Raw genomic sequence first — 17399 nt, 5'->3', positions numbered from 1 at the left:
CTAGTGTCAAGGCTGGGGACATTGACAGTGTTGACATTGGGGACATTATCTCCACATGTTGTATTGAGGGGAAGGTTCAGGGCAGTTGAGGCAGGCACCCCAGACTGGGCCATGCTAGAAGGTTACCAAGGCACCAACCCTCTGGCTCACCATCTTCTGGAAGTCACAGTGGCTAACTTACATTCATATTGGTTTCTACCCTACCACAGCCTGCAGAATTTTGTGTCCATAACTTTTATTTAATGTTTCTTGAATAATATAAAGGAAAATATATCCAGGAAAGAAACATGAAAGGGATGTGGAGTGATAGGAATGGAGCTGATAGGAACTAACCACACTCAAGAGGACTTTGGGGTTCAGGTTCCCATAGGTAGGCTGACACACACCTGGGCAGATGTTGCAACAGCAGTCTTTCAGAGCTGTGAGGGCAAGGGATGTCCAAACAGGATGGAGTATTCCACCTCCGTCCTGAAACTGACAGTGTGGCTGTGTATGTACAGCTAATGTACCATGAAAGAGCGTGACCATAGTCCACATACCTGTGTGGAGATGTGAGTTCCGCAGGGGTGTTATATTGACCTACATCAGTCAAGCAAAAGTAGGAGATATTTTTTCTGAATGCAGGTAGATGTGTTGCATTGATTTTCAGGCTTCTTGAAACTATTAGTAGTGACCCTTTCCCAAGGCCACCACACTACACAACTCTGAGAAGCACTAGGCACATGGAAAACAAGAGGACAGGTAACTCCTGAAGCTGAGTGGTGTGGCAGCCCTGAATCCTAATATGAAGTCACCATCCTCCAGCTGTCTTTGGCCACCTCTGTCTAAACAGCTCAAGGGTGCATCAATAATCTACATTTTCCAAACCAAGCACACTCCCTACTTCCCTATCCTCACTTCCCTCTGACCCCCAGTCCCCTGTATGCTCTTCATGATGGTGGTGAAGCATTGTCACCCCTTGGTCACCTCCATCACATTTGCTTTCTCATTCCCTAAGATCAGCCAGCCACACAGCCAAGTGACACATCCTTCCCCTTTTGCTCTGTCAAGCTTCTGTAACTGGCATCATTAACCTTTGGGACCTCATAGAATCTTCACAGCTGAGAAGCTCTCTGACAGCTTCCTCTGGCTTGGGGACTCTACTCCTTTAGATGAGAGCTGGGTAGAACATCATCCAAGTCAACTTCTCAGAGCTTGGTGTTGGTTGCGGACCTTCATTCTTTCTTTCCTAGTGCATACAGGATAAAAGACAGACAGCTTAGTGCAAGGCGTTTCACTTTAAGACCCCCAAATGCTTACGAACTTAGCTCCTGATTATTTCTGTGCAAGGACCCCATGCTTGTGACTCAAGGCCATGCTCCTTTCCTTCATGATTTTGCATTCATTTTTCCACTGTCCCCTGGAAGGCCTGTTCTACCATCTCCACCCATCAAAGTTCTCACCATTAATTCCACTATATGTGGGCACCTGGGCACCCTTCCCACAGTACCTCTGCCCCACACAACTCAGACTTCCTATACTGAAAGTTGGATTTGCCCTTTTCATTCTGAAAACACAGCCAGTTGTCATGTTTTTCCTTTTCGGAGCTGAAAACATAGGCAGACAGACTCAATTACCATAGGTCAGAGGTTGAATCAACCCACAGCATTTCAAGCTTTTGCTGGAGAATCCTGAGTTATCCTTCTGAGGAAAATTACAAAATAAAAGTTTTTTTTTTTAATTGACATTTTATGACTCCAAGAACAGAGTGGGCAAATGCAGTGTTAAAGAGCTGGGTATATATAGCTATTTAGGGTTTGTCTTTTTAAATAAAATTTAAGAAACACGAAGCTTCCAAAGGTACTCAACTGTTACCCAAACTGTCTTACTTCATCTCTGAGTACTATAACTTTCCACTTGAAGGCTTGTGATGGTCACAGTGATTGGGCAATACTGTATATCGATTATTTCATATGATGTGTTTATTTGTAAGAAATGGAATTTGCTTGCTAATGTTGTATATGAACTCAGCAGCCTTCTGCTAATATACTTATAGTTCTAAACAGTAGACAATATATTGCTAAGTTTCTATATTAAATATTATAAAGGTGACAGATTCCTTTGTTGCTCTGAAAATGTAAGACTTTGATTTACCTTTCTCTTTTTAGGCATACTTTACCCAAAAATGTGACCCTAGCACATTCAATGCAAACAAACTGAAATCTATTTTTCTAGCATTTTCTCTAGACTGGAAGACAAAATATAATTAATTTATAGCTTGCTTTTCTAATTTATTAATCCCAACAATAATCCAAATTCATCTGAAGCCCATTTTCTCTTTATTTAGTAGTATTTTGTTGTTGTTGTTGTTGTTGTTTTTGTTTTTATTTTTTGTTTGTTTGAGATGGAGTCTCACTCTTGTCGCCCAGGCTGGGGTGCAATGGTGCAACCTCAGCTCACTGCAATCTCTGCCTCTCAGGCTCAAGCGATTGTCCTGCCTCAGCCTCCCTAGTAGCTGGTATTGCAGGCACACATCATCATGCCTGGCTAATTTTTTTTAAATGTATTTTTAGTACAGACGGGGTTTCACCACGTTGTCCAGGCTGGTCTTGAACTCCTGACCTCAGGTGATCCACCCACCTCTGCTTCCCAAATTGCTGGGATTACAGGTGTGAGCTACCACGTCTGGCCTGTTTTGTTTTTTTTTTTTCTAACCAGTGTCTTTACATTTGGATCATTCACAGTGAAATTCCTCTTTCTTTTTTTTTCTTTCAGTAACTGCATCTCCAACCCTATTTCTCATGAACTCTGTTCCGTTGAACAGTTTCAGGAATAGTCTTCTCTCCTGTCTATCTAAAGACACGTGTTGAGTTTTCAGCCTTTTGTTTCCAAATTGAGTCACCCTGTCTCCTTCCTATTTTTAATGCAAAACATCCTGTATCTGTTTTTCAGGCTACTGCGTACGTCTCCCTCTTTTTGGACTGTCCGTAATGACGTTCTCTTAGCTTTGTGGTTGTGGAGTGTCTGTGTCTTCTCCACCTTAGGAGATCTCTCAGGGATGCTCCTCATAAAGTGTGGGCATGGGGTAGCTACCATATGTGTGAATAAATTTTTAAAAATACCGTATATAGTATGCAGACATGGCATTGACCACTTATTCCAAAGTCATGTGTATTAGCTTAGAAACTATAAATTGTGTCAGATTGAACATCTGGTTGTCTATCTGGCGAAATGTCCTCATTATCTGATGAAGACTTCTTGTCCTGGCATATGGACGTTAGCGTTGGATGATTGGGAGCAGGCCTGTGCATGATGGGATCCCTACACTCAACCACTGGATGCCAGTAGCATCTCCCTCTCCCAAGGGTGACCACCCAAAATGTCTCCAGACTTTGCGAGATGTCCCTGTGGGTGACTGTGTGTGGCAAAATCATTCCTGGCTGAGAAAACCATCCAAGAGCAGGTACTAATTAAGGACAGATGTCCAATGCCAACATAGAGAAAGAAGAACACGTAGAAATGAAAGGCATTTAGAGTCCAGCATGTTGATGACTGTCAGAATACATTAAATACATCACATTATTCTGAGGCAAAACATTCTTTTTGAGTGATTTTGGTATGTGTCTGCATAACAGCAGTTTCAAAGGAAAAGAGTTTTGCTTGAAGTGAGAATTTATCCAAAGGTGAAATAAGAGGATCACATCCAACATTCGTCCTAGAAAGATTGAGAATTCTTTTGCTCTTGACAGAAGAGGGAGGGCTTTTTTTCCTTCATTTAAATTTTTTTTTTCACTTTTGGTCCATCAGGAATATCTCAGATTCAGAATAAAGTATTGGTATTCCACAGAAGACAAGGAAAAAGGCCCAGTGCCCCAGCTCTTGGTTGCAAATGTTTTGCAGAAAGATTTCCCTGAGTGCCAAGAAAAGGAATTTTTTTCCTTTTTAGCAAAAAGTGTAAAAACCTCAGTTAACTCACAGAAATAAAAAGGACACAGGGACTTGCCTGTCAATCAAAAATAGTTGTAAGAAATCAGGTATCTATGGGCAGAACCGGTTTTAAATAACTCATTCTCTCCACTTGGCTCAGCCTCGTTCCCCTGAAAACAGAAGCCTGGCCGGGTTGTTAGTGCCAGGCAGAAAGGACTGTGCCCAGCTCCCCGGAAGGGCACTTGTGGTTCCCTGCACACAGCTGGTGATGCCCAGGGTCACAGGGCATTGCTGGACCCACACAGGCACCTGTGGTGCCTTCAGTCTTCCTGCTTGTTGATGTCTACCTTTCTTCTAATCCTATACAGGTGGCAGAAAACTTGTTCTCAGAGCTGTTCTTGTTCAGATTCTGGGGTAAGGAAAAGATTGTTGTACATACAGGCTGAGTAAGGTGCAAGGGAATTTTGACATAAAGTGGAAGTTTTGAGTTTTTAAAGCTGGCACTGCTGGTCCTGGACGCATGCCATGAATTGGCCAAACCTTTCCATCCGTGAGTGGCAGCTCTCAGAAGCTCGTCCTTAAACCATGGCTGTTGGCCTCCATCCTAATGGATATTGTGAAGCATTTTTCCCACTTGAAGGAGACTGTATTTATCACTTAGAAAGTAGAGCAACCCGGAGCCTAGTGAGCATTTCTCCGCTTCATCAAAGGCCCTTGATTTCACTTCCTTTGCTTTAGAACATTAATTACATGGCCCTTGGCATAGGGAGGGTTTGTCACCAAGATTCCTTTCTTGCCTATAAGCCGCAGAATAGACTCTCACCCACCCGAGATGGAGCCATGGAGAAGGCACAGCTGTGCCCTTCCAGAGCCTTTCCCTATATGGACTTGCTGATTATGTTCACGATGTTCTAAGATGCTGACCCCAGAGGGGCTGCCCAGAGTTCTAATCTCAAGGAAAACTCTGAGTATTCTTCAGTCTCTCACACCTGGCAAAGCGCAGGGAACCAAGCTCACCTCCAGTTTGCCCACCAAATATCTTGGAGTCTCCAGCAAGACTGTGCACTTCAGTTTCTTTGTCCCTGCAGCGTGGGGGAAGGTGACCCCCCTCCTCCCACATGGACACTTTAGTGATGATTAAATTCAGCAACATGTGCTTGTATCAAGTATGAAAGTCAGCCCTGAGCCATAATAGCCTCCCCTAAAGTAGGCACAGAGCTATCAAAGTTCAGTGTTAGAAAAGCAAATCAAGCAAGCTGAACTCAAAGTTGTCCACCAGGAGATTCTAGAAAAGGATGGGCTTTCCTGGGCCGAGCCTCTGACTTGTCTTTATTCAAACATCATTCAGCAAACACGTATGACCCCATCCTATGTAGTGTGGAGGTCAGGGGAGTGATCCAAAAGACACAGCATCCCACCATCAAAATGCTGCATGCGTTCTCGTGGGACCCTGGCAGAGCAAAACCAGCTCAATGACGGGCATAACCCAGCCCAGGGAGACGTCCAGGTGGCAGAGGGAAGGCTGCACTTGACTCTCATTTGCCAATTAAGCATTTTTCCAAAGGGTTTAAACCCATCGCATTCTCATTTGAGCTGGCTCCTTTGTGGCATGTGGAAGGCCCCTCGGAGGGCTTGCTGGGGAGGACGAAGGGGAGCTTGACAGCCTTCCTTGTGTCGCAGGCCTCCAGACGGACAAAGTCTGAAACGGGCACAGGCAGGGCCCCGACCAGTGCTCCAGGACTGATGTTTCCTGGACATGGCAAAGTTGCTGGCAGTCAGGAAAGAGAACCTGCGTGTTGGTGCTCGGAAGCAGTTCCTGAAGATCTCAATCTTCGGCTGTCCCCAGCACACCTCCTGACACTGGGAGTCTCCACACACCTGAGCCAGCTGCTGCCTTCCAGAACCCACCTGTTCAGGAGGCCCAATTCCCTTTAAAGAATAGTCTTCCTTACACATGGTGCACAATAGTCTGCCCCAGTACGTGGTCCACGGGTCAGAAATTATGTTTCTCCCTCCACAGCAGCCTGTGCTCTCACTCACCCACAGACTCGCCCAGCTGGCAACCCTCCCTCCTCCCGGCTGGCTGGCTGTGGCTGGGGGCTGCTCCAAGGTGCCCCAGCACTGTTCCTGCTGTGCTCTAAGCCCGCATGCCCTCCCGCAGGATGCTCTGGTGGAGACACCACATCCTGGCTCCACGTTAAACCGTGTGGCTTTCAGAGCTGCTAAGGCCTCTCTTCTAGAAGGCGCCATTACACATCCCCTCTCAAGTCTCCTCCCATCCTGCCAGGGGCTGGCAGGGGCCCTGCATGTCTGGACAGCACTCCAGCACTGGATTGCCCTTCCGCATCTGACAACAATGCTCTGGGTGTTAGGAAACTCAGCTTTTCTGTAGCCTCTGGGTATGGGCGACAGTAATTGCCAAGTCACAGAGGGAGTTGCCACAGAACTGGAGGTGAAGCGTCTGACCCAGAGTCTCCTTCTGTGAGTGTGGACGTTGGAGGAGAAATCGGGCCCCTGAATTGGATTATCTTTCTGGAATAAGCATTCCTGTTAAGTTCTTCTCTCCGTCATTCTCCCTGCCTGGGGCTAGCTCCTTTCTATCCTCTGAAATTGCTTCCCATGTCTCCCACTTTTACTCTGTCTTGAATAGGAAAAAGAATACAACAGGAATAGACTGAGTGTGTGCCTTGTGCTGGCTTTGTTTGCAGTCTTAATTTTTCAGATCTTTGCTGTAGGTGCTGTAATGGGAAAGGCAAGCGTTGCCTTCAATGGATAACCATTATTAATTTAAAATCTACATGCTAAATGTGAGCGGGGAGAAGCCCAGGTCATTATCAAGATTCTAACACACACAGAAAAATGAGCTGGGCACCTGCCAGTTATAAATCCTCTCCTCTAAGAGATATTTGCAGCTGGTTAAGATGATCCTGATGTAATGGAAGCATTTAATGTAGAAAATGTTGTTCTATTTCTCTTCTTGATAGCACCAGACAACCAGGGCGTTGAGGTGGGGGAGAAGAGCTAGAGAGGAAGACTGCCGAAGAAAAGCAATATGTTTGCTACGCTGATCAATAAGAAGATTAACTTACCCAAGTAGAAGATGTATCAATCTTATTATTGATCAGTTTAGCACACATATTGGTGTGCTGGTATAGGATTACAGAGCTGTCTGGACAGCGCTTCATCAGGTCCTGGGTAGATAGCTATTCCTGGTGGCAACCGTGGGGCCTCACACTTGTGGTGCATGCATCCATAGCAAAGGTCACCTCTCTTCTCTTCCCATTCAAGATGATCTCTGGAGAAGGGGACTGAGGGAGAGAGTGAGGTGGGGTTATGTCAGTGGGCAGCATGTACTGGATTCAAGGTTAATCAACAAGCTCTTGTTTAGTGAGGGGCTCCTGGGACCCGGACTCAAAAAGATAATGATAATGCAAGCTTTTACGTGTTGAATATTTGGTGAGAGCTCAGAGAAAATCATTTTAAGCATCCACATTTGTGACTCAGCTGCGATCATTGAATGTACCCTATACCTGAGTGCTGAGAAGTAGACTAATGTCTATTTTCAGAAATAGCAAAAAAGCTGGCAGATTTTATTCTTTAGAAATAGCTATGATTTAAATATCTTTAGAAAAATGTCAAATGCTGTATTTTGAATCACAGATATGAAACAAGAGGTTTTTGAGGTGATATTTCATGTAGCTTTTAAAATTATGTGTTCATTCAATAAATATTTACTGCACACAAAGTCTAAATCTTTTGGCTTGTGACAAGAGATCAATCCACTGTGTACTTGTATTGCTAATCCACTTTGAGAAAGAGTGAATGGAGCAGAATGAGATGACATCCTTCCAGGAGCTGAAGAGCTTCTTTCACCCACATTCAGCTACAACTCCAAGGAAAGGGCAAATCCTTAGATTAATTCTTCACAATTATTATTATCTGCAACTTGAGTAATTGTATTATAAAACTAAATTTCATTCCTAGTTAATTCCACAATGGTTTGGCTCATTTCACCTCATTTCATAAAAGATAAATACTTGGCCCAAGATCCTTTGCTTCTTATTTCCCTTCAAAACCTTAGAACTGAAGCTCATTCCAGAGGGACTTGGATACCATCACGTCCTAAGGTATTACAGACAGGATGAACGCACTGTGGTTCTTACAGGGGGGATATTGTGCTTACATACAAGGAAGATGAATGTTGCCTCTTTCTCTGAGGAACTATTGATCCCTCTGGGGAATTCCCTCGGACATCCAGGAAAGAAGAGTCCAGGGCTGCCGTGTGTGTTAGTGGGTGACGCCCACCGTGCTAGCGGGAGCGTGTGTTAGTGGGTGACGCCCACCGTGCTAGCGGGAGCGTGTGTTAGTGGGTGACGCCCGCCGTGCTAGCGGGAGCGTGTGTTAGTGGGTGACGCCCGCCGTGCTAGCGGGAGCGTGTGTTAGTGGGTGACGCCTGCCGTGCTAGCGGGAGCGTGTGTTAGTGGGTGATGTCCACTGTGCTAGTGTGAGTGTTAGGGGCGGCGTTGCAGAGGCCTCACTGGGTGAGGACAGCAGACAGGGGCCTGTCAGCGTGGCTTTTTTATCTGGTGTGATTTTATATGCTTAGGCAGAGAAAGTGAGATGATCACCTACTGGTTAACTCATCCAAAAATATTTCTTGAATGCTAAATGTTTTGCCAGGAATTGAGAGTGAAAGATGAAAATAATTGTTCACTGCCTTCAAAAAAAAAAAAAAAAAAAAAAAAGGAGAGTCTGGGAGGGAAGGAGACTCAGGCCATTATGTGCATTTAGGAGGTGTCTAATGGCATGGCGCCTCTTTCTGTCTGGGTGCAGGTACCATCAAGCACTCACCTTGTGACAGCCTTCCTAGTGGGAAAGATTATTTCAGTGGCCTCCATTAGTTGTGTCAAAGCAAGGCAGAAACCATCCTTGTTCTAGGAAAAGGGAACAAACAGAAATCCGCCTCGTGATGTGTCTAGTTTATGCCTGAGCATAAACCAGAGCTTTCTGGTTATCAGAGTGCCCCCAGATGGAGCGCTCTCTTTAGGAGACCCCCTACTTTGCTTTTTCCAGAGGTGGTGAGAGACAGCTTGGGCAATGGCTTGTCACCAGGCACAGTAAGCGCGGATTGGTTACCTAAAAAGAGTGAGCTGTATGGATATTTCTAAACCTAAGGGTTTATAATTCTGTTAAATGATCAGTGAAAAACAAAAGTAAAATTGCATTCAAAAGTGTGTTTACCTTGTGGGTAACTAACAAAGAAGTGAAATCAATGACTCCACAAAGACAAAGGTTTAGAAACATGATCTCCAAAGCCGCTCCTCAATGAGATACCTGGACCTAACTAAACAAAATGTTTGTCTGCAGCTCAAAAGATTTATTTCTGTCATTCCTAAACAGTGAGACATCTCCTAACCTGCAGACAATCACTCACGTGCTGTCAGCTGCCTCTCCAGGCTGTGAGGACATCATCGCTGAACTGCCTCTCCCCTTACACTCCATTCCCCTTTGGGGTCAACATCACATATTTCTGGAATAGCTAACTGTGTTGAAGAGGGTAGCTTTTGACCACAGAACTGAGTTTTTCTCTTTGCACAGAGTTAATTGGCCATAAGGGGCCTGAGTCTCTATCTTGCTCTCATTAGCACCAAATTTTAACTAAATGGCCCAACTGACCCATGTCCAGAGCCAACTTCCTCTTCAAATGGTAAGATGAAAGTCCTCTGTGGCGCTTGTCATTCATTAGCATTTACATGGTGATGGCTGAGGCTCGGGAGGCTGTGGGTCTGAGGGGAACACGCTGGAAAACTTCTAAAGTTCCTTCCAGTTTGGCGTCCTGCATTTTTATGACATGCCTGTGATGCCACAATAGGACATTATATGGCAAGTAAGAAACAATTGGAAGCCATTTGCCTGAGACAGTGCCCGGGTGAGGGTCTGCCCCAGCTCCGGGAAACCAAGCTGAGGGAAGATGATTAACGCTAGCCTCACACAGCCTGCTTAGGCCCAAGATGATTCATTTTCAGCCAATATTGTGGGCAGCCTGGATATGGCTAAAGAGCGTGAGACCCACAGGGTGCCGAGCAAAGTTTGCTGAATGTATTTGGAGGGAATGGCCATGGGACGCAAAAGCTCCTTCATTCCTGTACTCATTTATTCCTTCACCAGCTCACCACTTCCTGGGCACAGGTGATGTGTAGAGGGTGAGCCGGGGTAGGGATGTGCAGGTGGGGACCTGGGTTTCTGGGAGCCTGACCTTGAGGGCTAATGCATAGCTATTGAGGGACGGCGTTGGGATCTCTGCATTCTTCGTCCCCTGCACAGTGTGTCTGGATGTCCTCAGCATTGTGATCCACATTGGCTCCTGGAAGTCTCTCCTGTGAACATAATTTCCAGGAGTCTCCCTGCCTCACCGGTAGAGTGCTGAGAACACAGATGTACACACCGCGAGTGCCGAAGGGAGAGGAGGCTGGCAGTGGTTCTCACCACACTCTGGCTGGCTATACTCGAGATAGCGAAGGCATGCGAATTAAGCTGTGGCATATCTGTAAGTGTTCTCTGTCTGGAAAGAGAAGAAATGGTAGAATTATAAACACTCAAAGGAGCCTGAGGGACTGCCTTAGCCTGAGCTCCTTGGAGTGGGGCATGCAGTGGTTTGCAGACAAGAGCTGGGGAGGTGTCTTTGTGGGGAGGCAGGGTTGAGCAGAAGAAGCTGGAGTTCAATGCAGCTGCAGCTGAGGCCTCAGCGATTCTGGAGCTTGGATGATCCTCCGGCTTGACTGGAGGTTGTCATCAAGCCAGTTGCTGTCCCCTGAGAAGGGTTGTGAACTTAGGCAAGTCAATTCTATGAGCTTTTAGCAGACAATATTGTCAACATCTGGGAGATGCTGCCTCAGCCCTGAGGTGGGGATCCAGGTGGAGAACCCCCATGTCCACCACAAGGATTACCCGGTCTAATACTCCATCCCCTCACGAGCCCCCGACGTCATGCTTCTGACAAATGGTCACCCAGCTTCTGTTGGAAACTTCCAGGAATGATGTTCCTGCCTCCATGCAAGTAGTTTATTCTGTTTTAGCTGAATTATCAAGCTATCAGACATGTCTTTCTTTTATTGAGCTAAATATGTCTTTCTACAATTTTCACCCTTCGCTGGCACAGGTACAAGAGGATAAGACATCCGCTGGCCCTATCTGTGGTAGAATAAGTTCATTTCTCCTTTCCATTCATACCCTTTAAATAATCAATGCCAATTACTATGTCCCTTTAATAACTTTTTATCTCTCAGCTAAGTAATAGCTACGGTAACATCAGAACATAATCACAGGAGTGATTTAAAAGACTCAGGGAGAAAAGATCTCTGGAATAATCTTAGAACTTATTTAGTCTTTGGTGGAGAAAGACTCGGTATGAATGGCTATTCCAGAGCAGAGCCTATGTTCTGATGGCCAGAGCTGGGCACAGGTGGTGGTACAGAATCCATCTCATGTGTTGTGGAGTGCCTGGCCCTGAAGGATAAAGTTTGGTCATGAGGGTGGGCCATGATTTCTGCTCCAGCGCGTTATTTTCCAGATACTTTCCAGAAGTGAATCCAGTGACATTTTAGTCCTACCTGCATTAGGTAATGCCACCGCCCCTAATGGCTTTGTACACAAAGCAATCGCCATCCTTTTTGTGGCTCACAAAGGCAGCTGGACATAATAATGTTTCTGTCTGGCGACTTTCTTTTTTTCTCTTTTTTTTTTTTTTTTTTTTTGAGGTGGAGTCTCACCCTGTCACCCATCACCCAGGCTGGAGTACAGTGGGGCTATCTTGGCTCACTGCAACCTCTGCCCCCCAGTTTCAAGCAATTCTCATGCCTCAGCCTCTCGAGTAGCTGGGATTACAGGTGTGTGCCACCATGCTTGGCTAATTTTTGTATTTTTAGTAGAGATAGGGTTTTATCATATTGGCCAGGCTGGTCTGGAACTCCTGACCCCAGGTGATCTGCCTGCTTTGGCCTCCCAAAGTGCTGGGATTACAGATGTGAGCCACCACACCCGACCTGTCTAGGGACTTTCTGTGATGCTGTGATACAGACAGATATTCTGAGAGGACAGAGTATGTTGCCTTCTACCATGAAACTGAAAAATCCACAATAGAAAAAAACAGAATGGCAAAGTGTCCCTCACAGGTGGGCGTGAGTGGCTCTTCCTTTCAGGCTGCAGTTTACGTGGCTGCAGCTAGACGGGCCCACCTTGGACGGGATCACCTGGGGCGCCCCCATGCTCTCTGCAATGCACGTGTGCAGAGCTGTCATAACACATGCGAACTGGAATGTCTGTCCTTAAGAGCTGCCTTTTCATGGAAAGATAGAAACGTAAATAGCTTAATTATCCTTGGTTTCATCATCTGTACAAGGAGGAAACGAGAATAGATGATCTTCAAGTGTCTTTCCCTTTAAGGATCTTGGAAATGATTTGAAATACACACACACTCACACACATACACACAAACACATACACAAACACACACACAACACATACATACATACACCAAAAAACCCACAAACATATATATATATATATATATATACACACACACACACACACATTTCATCATTATCTATCTATCCATCTATCTGATTTAATCATAGGTTATGGCTGAGCCCAGTGGCTCACACCTGTAATTACAATGCTTTGGGAGGCCAAGGCCAGAGGATCTCTTGAGGCCAGAAGTTTGAGGCTAGCCTGGGAAGCATCGGGAGATGTCCATTTCTACAAAGAAAAGTAGCCCAGTGGCCCAGCATGGTAAAAAGCACCCTTAGCGTCAGCTACTCAGGAAGCTGAAGCGGGAGGATTGCTTAGGCCCAGGAGTTTGAGGCTGCAGTGAGCTATGAACACATCACTGAACTCCAGCCTGGGTGGTAGAGCAAGACTCCATCTCTCAAAAATAAATAAATAAAATAAATAAATAAATAAATAAATAAATATATAATAAAAAATTTAAAATGGTGACAAGAAGTATTAAATAGAAAAAAAACCCACCTTGATCGTACTATCTTTAAGTCCAAAATTAGTGTAGTGTAATTAGTCAAGCAATTATTTCTGGCTGTTTAAATAGCAGTTTTGCTTTTGGGAGGTGTGCTTTGCTCCTGGTCACCGCCTTGTTCTTCATACTGACTGTCTCCCATCTGTGAAGCCTGTAGCAGAACCACTCTCATTTCTACTTTACAGACTCCAAGGGAAGGGATCTGAGTGTCCTGCTTTGGTCACGTACCCAGCCAGGCCTGGAGATAAAATCGTTGAGGGAGGGCATTAGCCCAGCCTGGGCCAGGTATCCACCTGAAGCCATCAGCAGTGGCAGGGGCATGCTGGACAATGGCTGGTCTTCTGGGTGGGATGCCTGAGGGGGCGGGGATCACCGTGGAGATTAGCTGGCTGTACAGGGGGTTAAAATACAGAAACATCTGTGTACCAACTGGTAAATAGAAGTTGTCGTGAGCGCCCAGATGCTGCAACTTAGTCAACAGGGTTTCTGAGATCCCCGAGACCTCCTCCCATCTAGCAACTAAAAGGATGACAATTGGGACTGCAGGGAACTCCAGGCCCCTGCTCAGACACTGAGACATGTCCCTTTGGGTCCCTTTGGTTGGTGAGTAGCCACTGTGTAGGACCGTTCAATGTTTTGTTACTGCCAGCCCTGGAATAGGGATGTTGTGGAGAGATGGTGCTTGGGTGGCAGGAGTGCTGTGAGTTCTCAGAAAAGCAGAGAGGGCGGAGTTGCAGACAAAACTCTGTTTCCAGTACAGTCCTGTGGGTTTGACCCTTGCAGCGGGACTTCCACCAGGCATTTTGCTTATGGAAGCCTCTGCTTCCTTATGTCTACAAGGGGTAAAATTCCATTCAGTCCTGTGGTGTGTAAAGTGCTTGGCATACAGTAGCCCAAAATAAGTGATCATTATAGGCATATGGGTTTTAGAATCATAATCTTCCTAAAAAAAAAATGCACCTTGTGGGGGTGGTTGGGATGCTAGAATGTGAAGGTGCACTCACAAGGCCCAGAACCGAAGGTGTGGTTTGGAGATGATTGGAGCCCTTGCCCGCTGCTCCCACTGCAAGCCCCACAGAGCAACTGGAGAACCTATGATTGGGTGAAAATGGTAGAACCAGCTGAGGAGAACCTATTCTGTCAGCATGGCACTGGTATGGGTGACTACAAGAGACAGTCCATTTTTGGATGGCAACTTCCCAAAATCTCGTCCCCGGAGGGTAGAAGTTAGCAGCCAAGGGTGATTTTTTTTTTCCCTCAAGGAACCTTCAGCAATGTCTGGAAACAGCTTTGCGTGTCACAACCAGGAGAACAGGGGCTACTGGTCTTGTGGGTGGAGGCCAGGGATGCTGCTGAAGCCCCTATATGGCACAGGGACCCTCACAATGAAGAGTAATTGGACACCAAATCCCACAGTAGCCTCCCTTCTTGAGGCAGGGGCCCTGGAGGAAGGCAGCTGTGCTGATGGGCAGGTGTCAGCGGTGAGACACTGTTTGGCCCCCTTTGGCAGTCAGGCGTGGCATCCTTGGTTGAATCAAGGACTTGAAAGCTGCCATGACCATAAACCTGCGGGGCTCAGGCCCAGGGTGTCCAATGAGGAGACAAGAGTTTCCCCAGCTCTTGGGTCACCAAAATATGCCTTAGTATTAAAATTAATTTAAAATGCAATTCCTGTTTATCCAATAGATTCTACTGCCAAGCCCTGGCATGGGCACTGGGGCTTCAGCAGTAAACCAGTTGGGTACCTCAACCTCCCTCAGCCTCATAGAGCTTAAATCCCAGAGTCCAGTCCCAATCTCAGTAATTGTAGGTGATTACATGTTGGAGACAGAAGGTACAGCACAGTAAGGGACTGAAACAGGAAGGCCTTGCTGGGGAGGGGACATTGCACCTGAGACCAGGTGAAGAGCATGTGTGCTCGGTGGGCCGCTGATCCCCACTGTGGAGCAAGGAGCAAGCAGAGCCTCCAGCATATCAGTTATCTGCCCAGCTCTCCAATCAGAGGAGGAAAAGGAGGGAGCTAGAGGCCACAAGAGTTCGAAGCATAAATAAATATACGGAAGAGGACGTGATGTATTCTGGATACTAGTGATCAGAGAGAGATATTGCAAATGCTCTTTCCCTGTGCATGGCTTGCATATTCACTCTATTAACTGTGTCTTTGCCTGAACAGAAATTCTCAATGTTATTGAAGTCAAATTCATGCATATTTACTTTCATAGTTAGTGCTTTTGTACAGTAGGCAAAGATTTCTTAAAATACTCCCATGTGTTGATTCCTAAAGGTTTTACAGTTTAAAGTCTCAGGTTTAGGGCTGTGATGCAACTGGAATTGGTTTTGGGTAGGCTGTGAGGTTTGGGGTAATGGTTTATTTATTTATTTATTTATTTGGTCTTAGATGGATTTCAAATTGATCTAGCACTATTTATTAAAATGACCGTCCTTCCCACCCCTGGGTTGCCTAGCTGCCTGCAATGTAATAAGGTGATGAGTGTGGTCCATTTCCGGTCCTCTGCTTTGTCTCTGTTGGTCTTCTCTGTCTTCTTCACCAATATCAAGTGGTCACAACAACTAGAGGTTTAAATAAATCGTGACACTCAGTTCATAAGTCCTTGTTCTTCTCCAAGGTTGCCCTGGCTATTCTTGATTTTTAGCATTTCCACATAAATCACGCATTATGCAGGCCAATTCTAACATTGTCATGGCCATCATCACCACCATCATCACCATCATTACTATCATCACTATCATCACCACCATCAGCATCATTACCATCATCACCATCACCATCACCATCATAACCTTCACCACCATCACCACCACCATCACCATCATCACCATCATCACTACCACCATCATCACTGTCACCACCACCATCACCACCATCATCACCATCATCATCACCATCACCACCATAATCATCATCACCATCATCACTATCACCATCAACACCACCATCACCATCACCACCGTCATCACCATAATCATCTTCACCATCATCACCATCACCACCATCACCACCATCATCACCATCATCACCATCATCATCACCATCACCACCATAATCATCACCATCATCACTACCACCATCATCACCATCATCACCACCATCACCATAATCATCATCACCATCATCACTATCATCACCATCACCACCGTCATCACCATCACCACCGTCATCACCATCACCACCATCACTATCATCACCATCACCATGATCACCATCATCACCATCACCACCATTACCACCATCATCACCGTCATCATCACCATCACCACCATAATCATCACCATCATCACTATCACCACCATCATCACCATAATCATCACCATCACCACTGTCATCACCACCACCATCATCACCATCATCACCATCACCACCATCACCACCATCAGCACCATCACCACCATCACCACCATCACCACCACCACCACCATCATCACCACCACCACCATCACCACCACCACCATCACCACCATCACCATCGCCACCATCGCCACCATCATCACCATCGCCACCATCATCACCATAACTACCATCATCACCGTCACCACCATCATCACCGTCACCATCACCGTCACCACCATCATCACCATCATCATCACCATCACCACCATCATCACCATCACCATCATCACCACCATCACCACCATCATCGCCATCATCACCATCATTGCCATCACCACCATCACCACCATCACCACCATCACCAGCATCATCACCACCATCATCACCATCACCACCATCATCACCATCACCACCATCATCACCATCATCACCATCACCACCATCACCACCATCATCACCATCATACCATCACCACCATCATCACCATCACCACCATCATCACCATCATACCATCACCACCATCATCACCATCACCACCATCATCACCACCATCATCATTGCCATCACCACCTTAATTATCACCATCATCACCATCACTACCATCATCACCATCATCATCATCATCATTTCTGATGCCATTTTGCTCAGGATTGCCTCAAATCTATATCTCAATTTGTAGAAATTGTTCCTTTAAAAATATTAACCCTTTCAACATATGGTCTTTGTATATTCTTCCTTATATAGATCATCTTCCATTTTTCCTCCTGTATATTTTTTAGTTTTCAGTGTAGAGGTCTTGCACATCTCCTGTTAGGTTTCATTCTAAACATTCTGTTGGTTTTGATAATAATATACACAATTTGTCTTTTATAGTTCACTTTTCATCACTTTGCTAATCTATAGCATATATTTGATTTTTGTACCTTGACCTTATATTCAGTGACCTGATAAATTTACGTATATTTTAATTGTTTGCAAATCGTTTTAGATTTTCTACATACAAAAATATGTCATTTGCAAATTACAACAGTTTCATTTGTTCCTCTCTAAGTGTATCTTTTCTTTACTTTTCTTGCCATATTGCATTTCTTTCCTTCCAATCTTTATATATTTTAT

At 45.4% G+C, this 17399-nt stretch overlaps 2 long non-coding RNA genes across 2 annotated transcripts in view; one reads left to right on the top strand and one right to left on the bottom strand.

Annotated features, from left to right (window-relative positions):
* Positions 1-17399, top strand: part of LINC01019 (long intergenic non-protein coding RNA 1019) — a 118943-nt gene that overhangs the window by 73550 nt on the left and 27994 nt on the right. The gene's annotated exons all lie outside the window — the stretch shown is intronic.
* LINC02162 (long intergenic non-protein coding RNA 2162) lies at positions 885-9729 on the bottom strand. Its single transcript, NR_147000.1, has 3 exons — positions 9583-9729; positions 8758-8840; positions 885-1228 (listed from the first exon to the last, which is right to left on the bottom strand). It is a non-coding gene; the product is annotated as a long intergenic non-protein coding RNA 2162 (long non-coding RNA).

Source organism: Homo sapiens, chromosome 5 (assembly GCF_000001405.40).
Source record: "Homo sapiens chromosome 5, GRCh38.p14 Primary Assembly".
NCBI lineage: Eukaryota > Metazoa > Chordata > Mammalia > Primates > Hominidae > Homo > Homo sapiens.
This window is presented reverse-complemented; position numbering and strand designations above follow the sequence as displayed.